General features: G+C 38.9%; 1 protein-coding gene across 11 annotated transcripts in view, besides 4 other annotated features; it reads right to left on the bottom strand.

The window, feature by feature from the left end:
• Positions 1 to 8,811, bottom strand: part of SREK1 (splicing regulatory glutamic acid and lysine rich protein 1) — a 39,316-nt gene extending 30,505 nt beyond the window's left edge. For 8 of the 11 annotated variants that reach the window (NM_001323527.2, NM_001270492.2, NM_001323534.2 and 5 more), the window contains exon 1: positions 8,574 to 8,811. Coding sequence is in view for 4 of the 11 variants with exons in the window: in NM_001077199.3 (NP_001070667.1) it covers positions 8,574 to 8,734 (161 nt within the window). In the remaining 7 variants the exon portion in view is untranslated. Of the gene's footprint in view, positions 1 to 7,927; positions 8,277 to 8,573 lie in introns of those variants that run through there. The other 3 variants (XM_047416738.1, XM_047416740.1, NM_139168.4) reach the window with 1 other exon arrangement.
• Positions 8,071 to 8,120: an enhancer, noted in NCBI's record as "active region_22617". NCBI's record gives its function as "activates an Ori minimal core promoter by ATAC-STARR-seq in GM12878 lymphoblastoid cells {active_cell/tissue: GM12878}" and the evidence as "EXISTENCE:reporter gene assay evidence [ECO:0000049][PMID:35858748]".
• Positions 8,181 to 8,240: an enhancer, noted in NCBI's record as "active region_22616". NCBI's record gives its function as "activates an Ori minimal core promoter by ATAC-STARR-seq in GM12878 lymphoblastoid cells {active_cell/tissue: GM12878}" and the evidence as "EXISTENCE:reporter gene assay evidence [ECO:0000049][PMID:35858748]".
• Positions 8,501 to 8,780: an enhancer, noted in NCBI's record as "active region_22615". NCBI's record gives its function as "activates an Ori minimal core promoter by ATAC-STARR-seq in GM12878 lymphoblastoid cells {active_cell/tissue: GM12878}" and the evidence as "EXISTENCE:reporter gene assay evidence [ECO:0000049][PMID:35858748]".
• Positions 8,961 to 9,030: a silencer, noted in NCBI's record as "silent region_16063". NCBI's record gives its function as "represses an Ori minimal core promoter by ATAC-STARR-seq in GM12878 lymphoblastoid cells {active_cell/tissue: GM12878}" and the evidence as "EXISTENCE:reporter gene assay evidence [ECO:0000049][PMID:35858748]".

Here is a 19,889-nt window from a genome sequence, read left to right as displayed (position 1 = left end):
CTCAAGATTTCAAATTTTATCATCATTCCAACTCTTCCTAAATGTGTTTCCCAAGCATTTACATCACTAAAAAACTTCACAACAGTCTTAGAAAGAGTCAGGTAGTATGGAATTTAAATTGAGGTATTTTGCATACACCAGAGCTGGACAGTGATGATTTTCCAGACAAAAGATTTTACAAACAAAATCTTACATATTTTATAGGCAACAAAGACTCTAACTGGTCCTACTTGATTCAGTTTAATCCAGGCAGGCCGATACTAAAAATGAACCAGACAAAGCACAAATGAAAGGAACTTTTCCTAAAATGAATACATCCTGTTAGATTCGAAAATATACTATCCTCATGGATAATCATTTTGTCAGCCTATCCATAATTACTTTTCATTAAAATCTGTAATTGTCTTTAGCAGGAAAAAAAAGACCGAACTAAGTACATACGTAATCTGTAACATAGATTTTATATTAAAATCTATTTGAAACATTTAAGATTTTTCACACTAAAAAAAGAGAGATCACTTGAAAAATATATGACTTAATAGTCATTTACTTTTGTTTACAAAACAGGAAAGAAAACTGACTACAATTCCAGAACTAGTAAATCGCAAAGTTAACATCTAATGTCTAATCATCTAATTCCAAACTTCATGCAACTGTAATCATTCAACTAATCAAGAATCTTTAAACCATTCTGACATACTATTAAATTAGCAATTCCACAAACATTAGCCGTTTTTAAAATCCAAAAATCCAGATTTCTTTGTAATTCTTCACGTCCAGGAACAAAACCATCTTTAAACAACGTAGAATAACCACATTAATAACGGTTAAATTTATATATATTTATGCTATTAACCAAACAATGTGATAATAAAATGAATCTGCATTTAGAACTTAAAACTATTTACATTATTAACACAATTAGTAAGGCTAATTAAAGTTGAAAATAAAAGATGTACCGCCGGGCGCAGTGGCTCACGCCTGTAATCCCAGCACTCTGGGAGGCCAAGGCGGAAGGCGGGCGGATCACGAGGTCAGGAGATCGAGACTATCCTGGCTAACACGGTGAAACCCCGTCTCTACTAAAAATACAAAAAATTCTCCAGGCGTGGTGGCGGGCGCCTGTAGTCCCAGCTACTCAGGAGGCTGAGGCAGGAGAGTGGCGTGAACCCGGGAGGCGGAGCTTGCAGTGAGCCGAGATTGCGCCACTGCACTCCAGCCTAGGCAACAGAGCGAGACTCCTTCTCAAAAAAAAAAAAAAAAAAAAAAAAAAAAAGGATGTACCTCTTAGCATCCAACTCACTTCTGCCTAAGGGCATCCAATTCAGGATTCACATCAGCCCTCAACAAAAATCCCTCCTTACCCAACCCAACACCTAAGTCAAAGCAACTTGTGTACTGACACTGAGGTTAACTGTATGCACATCCAGACTTAACTCACCACCTTTACATGACCAAATCACCAATTCAGGCCTCTTGTGAGCTCTAGACTCCCAGGTACAAGTGCCTGCTGGAATATTACACCTTGATGGTCACTAAGTAAGTTGAAAATACATTCATCAACCTCCTTCCTTACCAGTCTTGCCCTCTGTCCCCTGCATTCCATATTTCAGTAAAAGATATCATACTACCCAAGTCCGAAACCTAGGAGTCACTAGTGTGACCATCCTAAGCACTGCCCACCAACTACTTCCAAAGCTCTTTCTAGGTACACAATAAAATTCCATTTTTCTGTTCCTTTAAGTTAGGTGTGGCCATGTAACCTGCTTTGGTCAGTTAAATATGAGCAGAACTGACATGTGTCACTATTCTGAAGAAGCTCTGAGAACCACTGTTTGACTCTTTTCCTCCACCACAACGACTGGCAACATTCAAAAGATGGCTGGGACTCATCAACTTCATCCCAGAGTGAATAACCACAATGAGTAAAGTTCCCACCCCCACGAATTTAGTCTAAAAAATATTTTGTCAGCCAGGCAGGGTGGCTCATGCCTGTAATCCTAGCACTATGGGAGGCAGAGGCAGGCAGATCACCTGATGTCAGGAGTTTGAGACCAGTCTAGCCAACATGATGAAACCCCATCTCTACTAAAAATACAAAAATTAGCTGGGTGTGGTGCCACACACCTGTAATCCCAGCTACTTGGGAGGCTGAGGCACAAGAATTGCTTGAACCCGGGAGGCAGAGTTTGCAGTGAGCCGAGATCACACCACTGCACTCCAGCCTGGGCAAGAGAGTGAGACTGTGTCTCAAAAAAGAAAAAAAAAATTGTCAAACTACAAAGATCTGAAGTTATTTCCAAAACTCTACTTATTCTAACTGATAAATTATCCTTGACCTTTCTGTCCTCATCCAATTGGTCAATATATCCTGCTTAGAGTACCTTGTAAATATTTGTCACATTAGTTTTTTCATCATTCTCATTACCAATGCCTTAATTCAGACCCTCATCATTTCTCATGTGGATTACTTAACAGCTTTTAAGAAATCACACAGCACCCAACCTCAAATCCTTATTAATGGTCTTCCACCAAAGCTCCCACAGTGATCTTTCTAAACACTAAATTTCATTGTGTCACTCCACATATCAAATTTCCTTAAAGGTACTATTCTGTTCTTGCCTCGTCATGGAAATGCACCCAAAAATGATACCTGTGGTTCCAGCAACACATCACAAACATATGGGTCTTCATATATGCTGTTCCATTTGGTTACGATGTCCTCGCTAACTCCCATTTTGAATGCTAATTCCACTCTTCTTCAAGGCTCAAATTTCCAAGTCTTCTGGTAAACCATCTTAAGATACCGCAATCATTAGGTACAGCCTCCTACATGTGCTACCAAGACATTCTATATTGCTTTGGCACAGGCCTTAGCACGGTTTCCTCATGTGAAACCCTCAAAAGATCCTATAAGCTTCTCTAGCCATAAATGATTAGTCACCAGTCTCAAGGGCCCATTTCCCTGGCTGACCAGCAACCTCTAATTTTGGAAGTCAGGCTCGACCAAATGAGCTAGATCAATCAATCAGGTTCTCTCTATTGGGCTGGAAGGTGACTTACAGCAAGCTGTAAGCCAGATGATGAGTACATAATAGGTATGCAAAGAAATGGAGTAGATAGAAACAAACTGAACTGATAATAACCACTGCAGAGAAAGAAGCAGATAGTCATCTTGATTGCTGATACCCTTCTGGTTCCCAGTACTAGTTCCCATGAGGCCTGGCTGTACTACAATCTTTATTTTTCAACGCAGTGAAATCTTTCTTTTTAATAATAATGTCTCTTCTCGATGTACCTTGGGTAACACTGTTTCTGTCCTTTTTAACCAAAAACAATCTGTGATTATAATAACCTACTAAAGCCCTAGCAATTCCAACAGGAATAACTCTTTTGCCTCTGAAATCTTCAAGAGCCTGACAGTCATCTCTGAAGCAACATTTCCTAAACTGACGGATCCTTTTGTGAAGGAATGTAAATGTTAAGTAAGCACTACTGAAAACTAAAACCACATTTCCAAATACCCCTAGTTGAAATCTACTTCATTTCAAACTTAAAACATCCACAGGAATAGGAATTCTGAGTCTGGTTTGTAATGCAACTACATCTGAAGACATGCCACCAACATTTCAGAAGCCTGGGAACTGGTTAAAAAAATGTTGGTCTGTTCTGAACAGCATCATCATGGAAGTATGGATATTAGGTACGGCTACTCCACTGATTTAAGCAATTTTCTTTTCTTTTCTTTTCCTTTTTTTTTTGAGACAGAGTTTCACACTGTCACCCGAGCTGGAGTGCAATGGCGGGATCCCGGCTCACTGCAACCTCCGCCTCCCGGGTTCATGCGATTCTCCTGCCGCCTCCCAAGTAGCTGGGATAACAGGTGCACACCACCACACCCAGCTAATTTTTTGTATTTTTAGTAGAAACAAGATTTCACTATGTTGGCCAGACAGGTCTCGAACTCCTGACCTCGTGATCCGCCTGCCTCGGCTTCCCAAAGCGCTGGGATTACAGGCGTGGGCCACTGCACCCGGCCAATTTTCTTAATCTTCATTTCCAATTACCTTCCTTAAAATAAAGACCAACTTACATTTACTTTATAAAAATGCAAATATTTGAAAATTTCAGGCAAGGTAACACTATTTTATTTTGACCATTATAAACTAAAATTATTAGAGTAGCAAGCCAACAAACAGATAGCTCATCAAACAAATGTGTACTTGCTTGTGCCCAAGAGTTCAAGACCAGCCTGGGCAACAGAAGAAGACCTTGGGGGAAAAAAAAACACATAAAAAGGGATGACATATTCCATTTGGTCTAAATGTATGCATCTATAGAAACTAGCAGGCCAGGCACAGTGGCTCACATCTGTCACCCCAGCACTTTAGGATGCCAAAGCAGGCGGACTGCTTAAGCCCAGGAGTTTGAGTCCAGCCTGCGCAACATGGTGAAATCCTGTCTCTACTTAACTAAATAAATAAATAAAATTTTAGAAATAAATTTTAAGAAGAAAATAGCAGTACCCAAATTTAGCAGATTTTAGTTTGACCTCATTCGTTGACTTAAAGTTTTGGTTTTTTAAAATACAAAATCTTATCAATTTTTCAAAAAAAATTAAAACTTTTCAGTGGGTAGTACACGCAGAAACCAAAGAACCAACTTTTTGGGCATCAATTAAATTTCTTGGCCCTAACTGGTTATTTTGTCTTTTATTAAACATAATGATAGCACTATACAATATTTTTAAAACCAATGAGGTAATAATATGTCCAGTATTTTATCAGTACATTAATACACATCCTTTAGAGGACAGAGGACCTACCAAAAAAGATATGCCAAAACATGAGCGAAGCATACAGTATCATGTACAAAAATATTAGTTGGTGCATTATTTATAACAGGGTTTCTTCACTGGGCTTCAGTGGCCCTATGGATTAGCACAATTCATCCTGTTTAAGACTACTTATAAGTTGCTAACATTTACCCACTAAATGCCAACAGGCCCTCTAATCATTGTTGACAATCAAAAAGACACACCTCCCAATTTCTAGCTAAAATCCACTAATTTGTAATACCAAAAAAAGCAATCAAAATATCCAACAATAGAATTTCAAAAACACACAATACACTCAGAAATTACTAATCTCTAAATATTACTATAAATAAGACAGCAATATGGAAAATGCTTATGACAAAGTGAAAAAAGTAAAATAACAGTGTGATTCCTTTGATTACGCTATATTACATATATTACATAATGATAGCACTATACAATTATTTTTAAAACCAATGAGGTAATATGTCCAATATTTATTAACGCATGTGAAAAGGACTACAGGGAAATGGAGAGAAGCTTTGATAGAGTGGTGGGATCACAAGTGCTGTTTCCTTTTCTCTATTTTCTATAAAGTGGCTTTAGTGGTTACATTTTTTTTAACTAAATAAACTTAAGTAGTTGACAGATTTTTCCATTCTTTCTTAGAACTTTAGAAGACCAGAGAAGTGACGGAAATCAACAAGCAAAAAAAATCAACACAGGAAAAATGTCTAGTGTTACAAATCAGGGTAGGCTTACCCTTCAGGTTTTAGTTACTTGAAGGGGGTCACGGGGAACTTACAGGGTGCAGATAATCCTGACTGTGTGCTGGTTATATAGGTATGTTTACTTTGTAAAGATTCATCAACCTGCGCTTACGACCTGTGCACTTCTCTGTAGGTACATTAAACCTCAATGAAAAATTTACTGAAAAAACAACAAGGATTTCTTACTTGTGTAAGAAAGTTTCACAAGCTGTGAGATTGATTTATTGTGCAAAAAGTTAATAGTAATTCTACATATTTATCAACTGGCAGCACAAAAAAAGGATGACAAACTACAAATAAGAATTCTTAATGCTTACAGTGAATGTTCACAAGAATTCCCTAGCCTTAAAAAATTCTTAACGTTTAAAAGATAAAGATGAAACTCAACCACTGCATCATGCCAAAAGAATTAAATTTAAAATCTGAATTTTCATATTAGCAACTTAAGTCATTTAAGTCATTTTTTTTTAAGAGATAGGGGTCTCAATATGTTACTCAGGTTGGAATCAAACTCCTGGGCTCAAGCTGTTCTCCCACCTCAGCCTCCTGAGTAGCTAGGACTATAGGTGCACACCACCACACCTGGCTCAATCATAAAATTTTAATGAGAAACTATTTTCACATTCTATTAATGTATTTCCAATATACCTGGAAATATGTATTTGAAAATAAATATATTTCCAATTTTAAAACAATTTAAATTTCTACTCAACTCTAAAGATGTCATAAAATAATTTATGTGACACTGCAAAACAATATATTTTCAATACAACTACTACTATTGCATTTTGTATCCATTTCAGTCCAAATTTGCAAACACGTCTTCTAATATAAGGACCAGGCAATGACAACTTCATTACGAAGCAGAAAACCTGTGAATAAAGCATGTCAGTATTGCTGCAAAACATGAATGAGGGATCTAGTATTGCACTTAGGGAAAAACTAGTTAAGGATTTTGCCTGGCCTATATATATTACACGTATGCAACAATTTTGCTTAATGTGTTACAGTTTGTGAAATACACTACCGTAATCTTCCATATGTTTAAGTGAAGAACTTTTTATTCTCTTTGACTTTTAAATTCCAAGTAATAACATCTGATTTCAAAAAAGTGGCCCATTACTGTCAGTTATGGCAATGTGTTGTCACCCAAACCCAGGTTTCAACCAAATAAATATTATGTTGATAATGAAGAACATTCTCCAATATATTTCTTCTACCTATGAGATACCTTATTACCACAGCCTTGAAAGCAAGATTTACAAAGGTTCATGTACAAAGTATTTTACTGATTGATTCCAATGCCTGCAGGATACGGCACTCCCCCAAACAATTCTCAATTATTCTCAACTATTAAGAAATGTTCTGAGAACTTAAATTGAGATGGCTGAAAGCATTTCCAAAAGTTAAGATAATTAAAGCAATAATGCCACGGTTAATCAATCAAAATGTACGTGCGTGCACTTATGCAGTATTCTCGTCAAAAATGTATTACCTGAATCTCGTCACGAATATAAAGATATATATATACACATATCTCTATATACCTCATCTATATATCTCATCTATATAAACTCAGATTATGAGTCATATTACAAGACAAAATGAACTACAAAACAAAATATCAATGTCACGACTTTAGAATCTTTAAAAGGGGACGGGACTGTCCTAGATTAAAGGAGATAACTATTAATACATGGATTACTTGGCATATTCAAGGGAGACAGTGTTATCTAATTACATACTAGATCAAAAGCAGACAAAAAAGCATTATTAAAATAACTGGGGAAATTTTAATAATCAACTGTAGCCAAAAACAGACAAAATGCTCGTAAAAGGAACATGGATGTTCAATGTATTACTCTTTCAACTTTTCTGTATGCATGAAATATTCCAAAACAAAAAGCAGAGAAGAAAAACTTAAAAAGTAAATTTTAAATATCCACACAACTTTTATATAGTTATGCAACAGCACTGTTATAACCTGAGATAGAAAACTAAAGAAAAATAGGTCTAAATGCATCACTAGGAAATAAATCAAAATTTTTTTAAAGAAATAAATCTTGGGTAACAATTACCCCTTCCCTCAAAGGATTTTGATATAATGAACAAAAAACGGAGGATCTTAATACTGTAAGATCTACCATTAAAAAAGAAAAAAAGTTTGTGTGCAAGAATGTGAACAACCTACAAACCCCTTGCGAGTTTTCTAAATAATATCGTACGAGGGAAATTTTACCATTCCAAAATACACTATCTGGGAAGTGGCCGCGAGCTGTGAATGCCAGCCAAGATCTGGACTTTAAATGTATACGGGAGGGATAACCCTGCACCGACTTACACTTTTTCTGAAAGCTTTGGGACAGTGTGACCTTTCAGGAGGAAAATTTAATCTGCTGTCAAAAGGGCTAACAGACATGATCTTTGGGAACATGGATGCGCTCGGTTAGATAAACCAAAATGCTAAGTTTGTGCGACCGTCCTGGGAAACAAACACAGCCCCAGTTCCATCTTGTCACCAGCAGCAGGCTTTCTCGTCAGCAAAACGGCCTGACACCAAGGCCTTAAAAACTGGACTGTGGCTCAGGCGCGGTCTCCGCGATTTTCAGAGTGGAAAAACGCTCTGAGACGTTTGCCATGAGGGCTGTTCCGGGCCCACCTGCGGCCATCTTAAGTTCGGGGGGAAATAAGAGGGTGGGGGCACGGAATTCGAAGACCCAGCAGCGAACACAAGTCCCGGAGGCACAGAAAGGGCAACCATTCTAAATCCTTGGTAAGGGCTCCGTGCAGTAGTTAACCCCCCAAATCCGACTAAGGAGAGCAGGACGGCGGAACCCGGGTGCCCTAATCAAATATGGGCACCAAGGTAAGCCGGCGCGATCACGTGACATGCACCGCGCGCCCGCGTCCGCGCTCTCCTCCACGCCTCGGCTCCCGAGGTCTCTATGGCGCCCGCGCCCCTCCCCCAGCCGAGCTCCAGCACTTACTCCGGGGGGTAGAGCCGCAGCTCCTCGATTTCTCCTAGGAAGGAAAAAAGCGTCCGCATCTGCTCGCTGGTCACCGCCGACGACAGATTCGTCACCTGAATCACCGACGTGGGGGTGAGGCCGAAGCCTAAGCCCAAACCGAAGCCGCCGCCGCTGTTCATCCCGATCCCGCTGCCGTTGCCTTCCCGCTCCCCAACGTCTACGACGCGTCAGCGACGGAGCCGGGAAAGCGGAGAACGCGCGGCCGCGAGCGCGCTCCCGCTGGCGAATTCACAGCGCCGGGCAGATCTAGCCGCCCATTTCACAACTCCCCTGCTCCCGGGGCTGCGCGCGCCAGCCGGAAGCGTCGCCCCGGCAACCCGGCGGTTCTCGCGCGGCTGCGGCCTCCAGCTCCCGGGTCCCTGGGGCTGTTGCTGCTCGTTTCACCGCCTGGATTTTTATCGGTGTTTTTGTTTTCCCCAAAAGTCGATGAGAGTCTTGTGCTCATGTCTACCCGGTTCCTTCCGGTCTCGGATTGGGAAACCAAGCGGCCTGGCCTACTGGTGCGGGACTGTAAAGAAGGAATGACTCTTGGACAACACGGAAGAACACTTGACCAAACTATAGGGCAGCCTTATCACATACAGGCAGCACCCCAACTCCAACTATTTTTAAAAGTTGGCAGGCGTCCTAATTGTGAAAAAAACAAAATTTTACAAAATGCGTAGGTTCAGGTTGAATTAAGGAAAGAGGCAGTAAGATGAAGGCTGTGCAGGGGTTGTTTATAACCTGTTTTTAATTCCCTCGTTCCACAGGTGTTGATGTTTATTGAGTGCTATGTCCCAGGCACTATTAGGCAAGGGCACGTAACAGACAGTTAAAGACAGTTCACATAGAACTTGCAACCTAATGAGAGACAACAGTAGTGAGTCCATGGCAGCTGCTCCCAAAATGCCCTCCGCAGATCCCTAAGGGTACCGAGACCTTTTCAGTAAGTTGGCAAGGTCAAAACGATTTTCGTAATAATATTAAGAGTTTCTTGACCTTTTTCACTTTGTTGCCATTTGCACTGGTAACGTAAAAGATTAAACTGCTGACACCTTAGCAGCAATCAAGGCAGTGGCGCCAGTCTTGTACTGGTAGTTGCATTTTGTATTCTTCACATCATACAACATTTAAGGTTTTAAAGTATGCTAGTTTCACTTTAAAAATGTCCTTCACAAATAACTAAAAATTGTATTTTTTTTTCAAATCCATCCTTGCTTACACGTCTTTTAAAGAATATGTGTGAAAAAATGGAAACTACTGCCGCTACATGCCCAAGTGAAATGGTTGTCTCCGGAAAAAGCACTAGTGTAATTCTTTGAATTTTCACCTAAAAATACAAATTTTATTACACTTGTATCCACCAGCTTGAGCTTGACAGCTTGCCAGTACTTAAAGACTTTTCTAGTAAAAGAAGCATTATATTAACAATTTATTTTTGACTATATAATGAAATATGTCAACATTTTTGTGATCTTTACAACTTAGTGGACACCTATTTTTCAAATGGCCAGTGGGTGCCATTACAAAGGCAAAAAGCCTCTGGTATGTGCAAGATAGATTGATGGATTTCAGTGCTTAATTGATGTGGTTTCAGATTCAGTCCACACTGCAATGAAGGCTAAGAAACTACCACATGTAAGTTTGGTACCGTATCAAAGAATAATATCTAGAACTATCTGGAAAGGCTATAAAGTAGTTTTCCCTTTTCCAACACCTTATCTTTATGAGATCAGATTTCCCTCATATATTTCAACCAAAACATATCACAACAGATCGAATACACAGAAAACTCATGATCACAAAGAAGGAAACGTCAGTCACTGTGGTCTACTTGAGGGTGGAGGGTGGAAGGAGGGAGAGGAGCAGAAAAAATTATTGAGCACTGGGCTTAATACCTGGATGATGAAATAATCTGTACAACAAACCCCCATGACATGAATTTATCTATGTAACAAACCTTCACATGTACCCCTGGACCTACAATAAAAGTTGGAAAAAAATAAAGAATACATAGATAGGAGAATTCAGCTGTCTTCTATTAAAGCAGACATTAAAAAGGTTTGAAAAATGTAAAACAATGCCACTCTTCTCACCAATTTTTTGGAAAAATATTTTATCATAAAAATGCATCATTTTGCCTTCAATCTCGGTTTCTAAGAAAAAAATGCGTCATTTCTATTAACATAATGGGCTTATAATTATTTTTAAATGAATCTCAAAATACCAAATTTCTCAGGTTTAATTTATAATGTGGATAGTAATAAAAGCATTTTACAGTCCTTAATAATCTTTAAGAATGTAAAGGGACTCAAGACCAAAATGTTTGAGAATTATTATTACCATAGGTATAAGCATGGAGGAATTCAGAGCACACAGGAGGGCCTCTTAAACTTAGTTCTAATGGAATACTTCCCAGAAGAAATATTGCTTAAGCTGAATATTGAACAAATAGGAATTACCCAGGCAAGGAGGGAAGGAGGAGCAGTGAAGGGCATTCCAGACTGAGCATGTAGAATATGCAAAGGCAGGGTTAAGGTAAAAGAGAGCTCGAGTGAGGTACAGAAGATTCAAAGTCTGTTATTGCTGGGCTGAAAATGACTAGAGATGCATGCAAAGGAATAAGCCTTTATGAAGGGTATTATTTGTCATGGTAGAGATTACTTTATCATAAGCTGGGAGCCACTGAAGACCTCGGAGCTGAAGAGTGACCCTGATCAGATTCATGTTCTAAAATGACTGGCTATGTGCGGTGGCATATGCCTGTAATCCCAGGATTTGGGGAGACTAGGGCAGGAGGATTGCTTGAGCCCAGAAGTTTGAGACCAGCCTGGGCAACATGGAGAGACCCCGTTTCTACCAAACAATAACAACAAAAAAGTAGCCAGGCATGGTGGTGCATGCTTGTAGTCCCAGCTACTGGGGAGGCTGAGACGGGAGGACTGCTTGAGCCTGGGGGTTCGAGGCTACAGTGAAAATGAGTTGTGATTGTGCCACTGCACTCCAGCCTGAGTGACAGAGTAAGACCCTGTCTCAAAAAAGAAAGGAAGGAAGGAAGGAAAGAAAGAAAGTGATGACTGTCACTGCAACCTGGAGATACATTGGAAAGGGTTCAGACTAGAGGCAAAGAAACTGGGTAGGTTATTGCAATAATCTGAATAAGCTATAATGAGGTCATGAACAAAGGTAAGAGGTGGTAGTAATGGAAAGCAAGGAACAGCCCCAAATTTGAGAATCACTGAACTCATTTGAAGATAAAAGGAATAAAAGCTGTCCACTCAGAAAAATATATATGGACATAAACTCACTTTTAGCTACAATTACTGATGCTTTCTGGTCCTCCTGAAGTCCAACCATAGATCTCTCGGATTAACAACTAGTTTTGAACAATTCTCAGACTTTAGTGTGCATCAGAATCAGCCCGTGGGCATGTTACAACAAATTGCTGGTCCCATCCCCAGAGTTTCTAGTTCAATAAGTCTGGAGTGGGGCCTGAAATTTTAATTTCTAACAAGTTCCCAGGTGAGCTCCTTCTTGTGGTCTGCAAACCCCATGTTGAGAACCACTGGTTTAGAAGGTTGTAAAAGCAGTATTCTTAATGGACTTAATCTACTCTTAATAGTAAAGCAGAAGGAGGAGTTTAGATTTATGTCTTGGAGAATTAAGTAAACAGTGTCATAATTTAGGTCCAAAAATATGAAGGAAGAGCAGCTTTGGGAGGAAAGAGCAGAAAATATTGAGATCCCTTATGGACAACATTCTGAAATGAAATTTAGGAAAAATGTCTAGAACTAAGATATAGCACTTGACTTAAGATTGGGAGGAGATATAGATACACCAGGAATGTTTGTAGCAGGAAAAGTGCTGTGGACAACATTAAACAGACAAATACAACAAATAGCCAAAAAAAAAAAATCAAGCCCCAAGGAAAACTGGGAGGGAGGATAGTCACAAAATTTAAAGGAAGAAAAAGGTTTTGGCTCTAGGGGGTATTGTTGTTTTTGTTGTTGTTGTTATAGAGATGAGGTCTCACTATGCTGCCCAGGCTGGTTTCAAACTCTTTCGTGTGGAGAAGAGGTAACAGTATCCCTCTATAAATCTCTCAGGGAAACTTACCAAACCTGGGCCTGTTCCAGCCCTGCCACTCTGGCCAATGTGACTGTTCTACCATGGACTTCTGAGATACATTTTAAAATTCCAACCTCCATGCCATGTTCTGCTTCCAAACTCTGTAATCATTCTCACGGCTCCAATTTTCAGCTATTTCTTTATCTCCAGGCCTCTTGATTTCATCTGCATGCTAACCCAACACCTTCAAATACAACATCATAGGAATAGTGATGGCAAAGTTTCAGTGAAAAAAATAAAAAGAGCTCCTCACAAGGAGGCTCAGGCCCATAAGAGCCAACCAGAAACCAAAAATTCAAAAAAGTAAACCCCAGTAAATACAGCAACAGAAAAAACCAAGAGAAAGATGTACATGATAGATTTTAGGTACTTACTAGACTGAGAACCAGGAGGTGACTTTGGAGAGAGCAGTTCTGGGGTGTACAGGGACAGGAAGAGAATGCTAGAGCTGGGAAAGTATATAAGATAAGTGTGGGATGTACTTACAAGAAGAGGCTTTGATGACTGTTAGTCTTCTTGTTTTGGTTTTGAATGAGTGGGATCTGCTATGAATCTACTCTATGGAATCTGAAAGGAAATTTTGACAGTAGAGAATAATTTAGGAGTAATTTCAGGTAAGGAAAGATCTGTAAGTAGTCTTATGTTTGAAAGAGGAGTGCTGATTATATTCTTAAGAAGAAAGCTAAATAGGTTGTCCTAGAAATAATCAGAAAAAGAGTGAGAACTGTGCATACATAAGTGTGCGTGTGTGTGTGTGCATGCACATGTGTAATGTGTTTTGGAGTAGTACTCTTCCAAAACTGAAGCAGAAACTCTTAGTCTCCTCCTGTGCTAAACCACGTGACCTTTGCCTTTCAGGATCCAGAACTCTCAATTCATGATGTCTCTAGTGGGCTAGCTCTGGAACCTTATCATTGGCATTACTTTCTACTACTAAAGAAATGACTCTAACTTAAACTGAAAAAAAGTGTACACAATGATGGCCAGGGTATTTCATGGAGTGGAAGAAATAATTGTACAACCAAATCTTGATTTGGGATGTGACTAAGGCATGTTTAGAAACCTTAACAGTCTTTGACTACACAAAAGAAAACAAAATATATTACAAGACTAAGGTACCTAACAGATTTGCAGGAAGAATTGCACAAATATTAGGAAAGGAGGTGACCAGGGAACCTCTAAGAACTTTAGCAGCAGACATTCATAGACCACCTCAATTGAGTGTGCTGTTGATAAGGTAAATCAACTCCAGTAACACCCAGCTCCTGCAAGCACTGATATGCTTTTTGTCTCTGTCTATACATTTACCTCTGCTGGAAAGTATATATAAATGGAATTATACAACATATAGTCTTTAGTGTCTGGCTTCTATCATTGAGCATGTTTCTGAGGTTCATTCATGTTGGAGCATGTATCAGTAGTTTATTAATTTTTGTTGCTGAATAGCAATCCATTGTTGAATATTCAACATTTTGGTTTTTATTCATCAGTTGATGGACATTTGGATTGTTTCCAGTTTTGAGCTATATGAATAATACCCTTGCAAACATTCACATACAAGCCTTGTTTCTCTTGGGTAGATATTTATGAGGGGAATTTCTGAGTCATATGGTAAGTTTAACTTCTTCTTTTTTTTTTTTTTTTTTTTGAGACAGGGTCTCCCTCTGTCACCCAGGCTAGATAGAGTGCAGTGGCTCGATCATGGCTCACTGCAGCCTTAACCTCCCAGGCTTAAGTGGCCCTCCCACCTCAGCCTCCCTAGTAGCTGGGACCACAGACACATGCCACCACCCCGGCCTAGGTTTAACTTTTTAGGAAACTGCCAAACTGTTTTCCAATGAGGCTGTACCATTTTACATTCCCACCAGTGATGTGAGAGCATTATATTTGCTCCATATCCTTACCAACACTCAGTATTATCCTTTTTGATTATAGCCATCCTAGTGGGTATGTAATGGTATCTCATTGTGGTTTTCATTTGCATTTCCCTAATGGCTAATAATGTTCAGCAACTTTTAGTATGCTTATTGGCCATTCATATTTCTTCTCTGATGAAATGTCTATTCAAATATTCAAATGTTTTGTCATTTCAAATTAAGACATTTATCTTTTGTTATACAGTTGTAAGAACTCTTTGTAATTCTAGTTGCAAATCTGTAATTTTTGCAATTCTAGTTGTAATTCTAATCTTTGTAATTCTAGTTGCAAATCTGGACATATGACTTGCAAATATTTCTGCCCAATCTGTAACTTTTATTTTCATTTTTTAATGATATCTTTTAAAGAGTAAAATGTTTTTATTTTGATGAAGTTCGAATTATCAATGTTTTATTTTGTGTATTATGTTTTTAGTGTCACAACCAAGCAATCTTTGTTTAATCCAAGATCACAAAGATTTTATCCTGTGTTTTCTTCCAGAAATTTCATAGTTTTAGATCTTATATTTAGGTCTTTGATCCCTCCTTAATTATATTTGTGTATTTTATGTATGGGTCTATATATTTTTTTCCTTCATATGGTATCAAATTGTTCTAGCACCACTCATTGAAAAGACTATACATTCCCCCATTAAATTGTTTAGCACCTTTGTCAAAATTCAAATGACCATATGTTGAAAGATTTATTTCTGGACTCTCTTTGATACACTGTCTTACTTACTGTAGTTTTGTTAGTTTTAAAATTGGGTAGTATAAGCCATGCAGATTTATTCTACTTTTCCAATTGTTTTAACTATTGGGTTCTTTTCACTTTCTGGATCTGCTTATCCATTTCTTAAGAAACTCCACCAGGATTGTGATAGGGATTGCATTGAATTCATAGGTCAATTTAGGAAGAATTGTCATTTGACAATACTGAGGCTTCCTGTCTGTGAATATGGAATGTCTATTTAGTTAGGTCTTCTTTCAGTATTGTGTTCTACTGGTTTTGCACTTCTTTGTTAAATTTATTCCAAAAGTATTCTTTTTGATGCTATTGGGAAAGGAAATGTTTTTTATTTTTATTTTTGGACTGCTTGTTTGTACGTAGAAACCTACAATTATTTTTGTATACTGATCTTTGATATGGTTTGGCTTTGTGTCCCCACCCAAATCTCATCTCAAATTATAATCCCCACATGTCAGGGGAGGGACCAGGTGAGAGATAACTGGATCATGGAGGTGGTTTCCCACATGCTATTCTCTTGATAGTGAGTTCTCACCAGAGCTGATGGTTTTAAAGTGTGGCACTTCCTCGTTCTTGCACACACTCTATCCTGTTACCTTGTGAAGAAAGTGCCTGCTTCCCCTTCTGCCATGATTGTAAATTTCTTGAGACCTCCCCAGTCATGCAGAACTGTGAGTCAATTAAACCTCTTTTTTTTTTTTTTTTAATAAATTACCTAGTCTCGGGCAGTTCTTTATAGCAGTGTGAGAACGGACTAATACAGTAAATTGGTGCCACTGAGAGGGTGGTACTGCTATAGAGATGCCCAAAAATGTGGAAGCAACTTTGGAACTGGGTAATAGGCAGAGGTTGGAACAGTTTGGAGGCCTCAGAAGAAGATAAGAAGGTGTGGGAAAGTTTGGAACTTCCTAGAGACTTGTTGAATGGTTTTGACCAAAATGCGGATAGTGATGTGAACAATGAAGTCCAGGCTGAGGTGATCTCAGATGAAGATGAGGAAGTTATTGGAAAGATTTAGCAAAGAGACTGGCAGCATTTTGGTCAAAACCATTCAACAAGTCTCTAGGAAATTCTAAACTTTCCCACATCTTTCCTGTCTTCTGAGCACCCCAAACTGTTCCAACCTCTGCCTGTTACCCAGTTCCAAAGTTGCTTCCACATTTTTGGGCATCTTTATAGCGGTACCCCATCCTTTTGTTCTGAGACCTTGCTAAACTAGTTCTGGTAGCTTGTATGTTGATACTTTTGGATTTTCTACATATAGGATCACATGGTCTATCAACAGGAGCAGTTTTCTTTCTTTCCTTCTAATCTGTATGCCTTTATTTTTTCTTTTCTCATTGCATTGACTAGAACCTTCAGTACAATGTTGAATAGAAGTGATAAGAACAGACATCCTTGTCTTGTTTCCGATCCTTGGGGAAAACAATCAGTGATTCACCATTAAGTATGAGTCTAGCTCTACATTTTGCTGATATTGTAGTTTTTAAGACACCCTTTAATAGGTAAGGAAATGCCCTTATATTCTTAGATTATTGACAGTTTTCATCATAAATTAATGCTGGATTTTCCAAATGCTTTGAAATGATGTGATTATGTGATATTTCTAGGATAAAGTCCACACGATTATGGTGTGTAATCTTTATATGTTGCAAGTATATAATTCATATGTAAATATGTAATTTATAATTTGTTGGCAAAAAAGTGTTAAAATGCCTTATTATCCTTTCAATTTCTGTAATGTCAGTAGTGATGTTCCCTCTTTCAATTTTTTTTTTTTAATTTTTTTGAGACAGGGTCTTGCTGTCACCTAGGCTGGAGAACAGTGGCGTGATCATAGCTCACTGCAGCCTTGAACTCCTGAGCTCAAGATATCTTCCCACCTCAGCCTCCTGAGTAGCTGGGACTACAGGGATATTCCACCATGCCTAACGAATTTTTAAAATTCTTTGTAGAAACAGGGTCTCACTATGCTGCCCAGGCTGGTCTTGAACTCTTGGCTTCAAATGATCTTCCCACCGTGGCCTCCCAAAGCTTCTTTCAATCTCAATATTGGTAATTTGTGCCTACTTTTTTCTTTGGTTGATCTAGATAAAGATTTATCAAATGTGTTGATCTTTTCAAATAAGTAACTTCGAATGTCATTTATTTTTCTCTGTTTTTGTTTCTATTTTATTGATTTTAACTCTGATTTTATTTATTTATTTTTTGAGACGGAGTCTTGCTCTGTCGCCCAGGCTGGAGTGCAGTGGCATGATCTCGGCTCACTGCAACCTCTGCCTCCCATGTTCAAGCGATTCTCCTACCTCAGCCTCCCGAGTAGCTGGGATTACAGGCGCCTGCCACCACGCACAGCTAATTTTTGTATTTTTAGTAAATATATTATTTCGCCATGTTGGCCAGGCTGGTCTCAAACTCCTGACCTCAGGTGATCTGCCTGCCTTGTCCTCCCAAAGTGGTGGCATTACAGGCGTGAGTCACTGATCCTGGCCTGATTTTATTATTTCTTTTGTTCTGCTTGCTTTGGATTTAATTTGCTCTTTTCTTCTAGTTTAAGGTAGAATTTACATTGTTGAGACTTTTTGTTTTCTGATATTGTCACTTAATGTACATATTTTCCTCTAACCACTGTGAGAAACACTTCATTTATTTCTCATAGTGTTGGGCAAGGCTGCATAGAAGTAGATGTCTCACCTATGATACAGGTCCAAATTTCTTTTTGTTATTGATTTATAATTTGTGTTGGTTAGAAAACATACTATGTATAATTTCAGTTCTTTTAAATTCATTGAGACTTGTTTTACAGCCTAGCATATGCTCTATTCTGAAGACTGTTCTGTGTGCACTAGAAAAGAATGTGTATTATGCTGTTGGGTGGAGTGTTTTTAAATGTCCCTCAGGTTGACAATGTTGCTCAAGACTTTTATATCTTTGTATGACATGCTGTGCAGTATCCTAGCACTAGAGAAGCTGCCCATGCTACAGAAGCATGGTGTTAGGCAAGCGTGTACACTACAGGGGCTGTATTCTGGTGAAACCATGCATTCTACCAGAGCTGCCCAGTGAAAGACACCACAACCAGGAAGGAAAATCCTTTCCTGTTGTAATGATTCTCCAGCACCTTCTACTGACAAATTTTGACATTGTGCCATCTGGCAAAGGAAAAATATTTAAAGTACTCAGATTCATTTTCACAGGGTGAATTTGGAGCCAAGAGGCAGTAGACTGATAACTGAACCTGCCTCCCCTGTGGTGTGGGCATTAATGTCCCTGCTACATTTTAAAAAAAATATTTCTTCTTATGTTTTAACTTGCTTCCTAGGTGTTGTCCCCTGCATAACCTGGCGGTCAGCCACTGATCAGTCTGAGGCTGTACCAAAATTCCTAAAGCCAATAGGATTTCCAACCCCTGTCAATGGGTTTATATGTGAGTTTATGAGTACATTCAAACTCAGGTAGTTTTGAAGTCTGTCCCAGGTCTTACTTCTTACTAGGCCCTCTCAGGTCTCCCTGTACATGCATGCAGTCTACAGTTAGCCAGAGATGTGTAGTGTGGAGAGCTTGTCAAGTCTCTCTTGGCCTCAGGTGTGTGTGTGTGTGTGTGTGTGTGTGTGTGTGTGTGTGTATATATGTATATATATGTATGTATGTATATATGTGTGTATATATGTATATATATGTGTGTATATATGTGTATATACACATATATATACATACACATACACATATATACGTATATACACACACATATATGTACACATACACATATGTATATACACATACACATATATGTATACACATACACATATATGTACACATACACATATGTATATACACATATACATATATGTATATACACATACACGTGTATACACATACACGTGTATACACACATACACGTGTATACACATACACATATATATGTATATATGTACATATATATTTTAGTAGAAATGGGGTTTCACCATGTTGGCCAGGCTGGTCTCGAACTCCTGACCTCAGGTGATCTAATTGTCTCAGCTGGTCTCCCAAAGTGCTGGGATTACAGGCGTGACCCACCACACCCAACCTTGATTTTGTGAATTCTTTTTTGTTTGTTTGTTTAGACGGAGTTTCACTCTTGTCACCCAGGCTAGAGTGCAGTGGCACAATCTCAGCTCACTGCAACCTCCACCTCCCAGGTTCAAGTGATTCTCCTGCCTCAGCCTCCCAAGTAGCTGGTATTACAGGTGCTCACCACCACGCCCAGCTAATTTCTGTATTTTTAGTAGAGATGGGGTTTCACCATGTTGGTCAGGCTGGTCTCGAACTTCTGACCTCAGGTGATCCACCCACCTCGGCCTCCCAAAGTTCTGGGATTACAGGCATGAGCCACTGCACCCGGCCATGAATTCTTAGAACAACCTCTCAGAACAAGATATAAAATATGTTCAGCATCCGAAAAAGCTACCTCATGTCTCTTCTACTTAATAATTCCCCAAAGGTAACCATTATTTTTAC

The sequence above is a fragment of the Homo sapiens genome, chromosome 5, assembly GCF_000001405.40.
Source record: "Homo sapiens chromosome 5, GRCh38.p14 Primary Assembly".
Classification (NCBI taxonomy): domain Eukaryota; kingdom Metazoa; phylum Chordata; class Mammalia; order Primates; family Hominidae; genus Homo; species Homo sapiens.
Note: the sequence above shows the minus strand (reverse complement) of the source record. Positions and strands in the feature narration are given on the sequence as shown.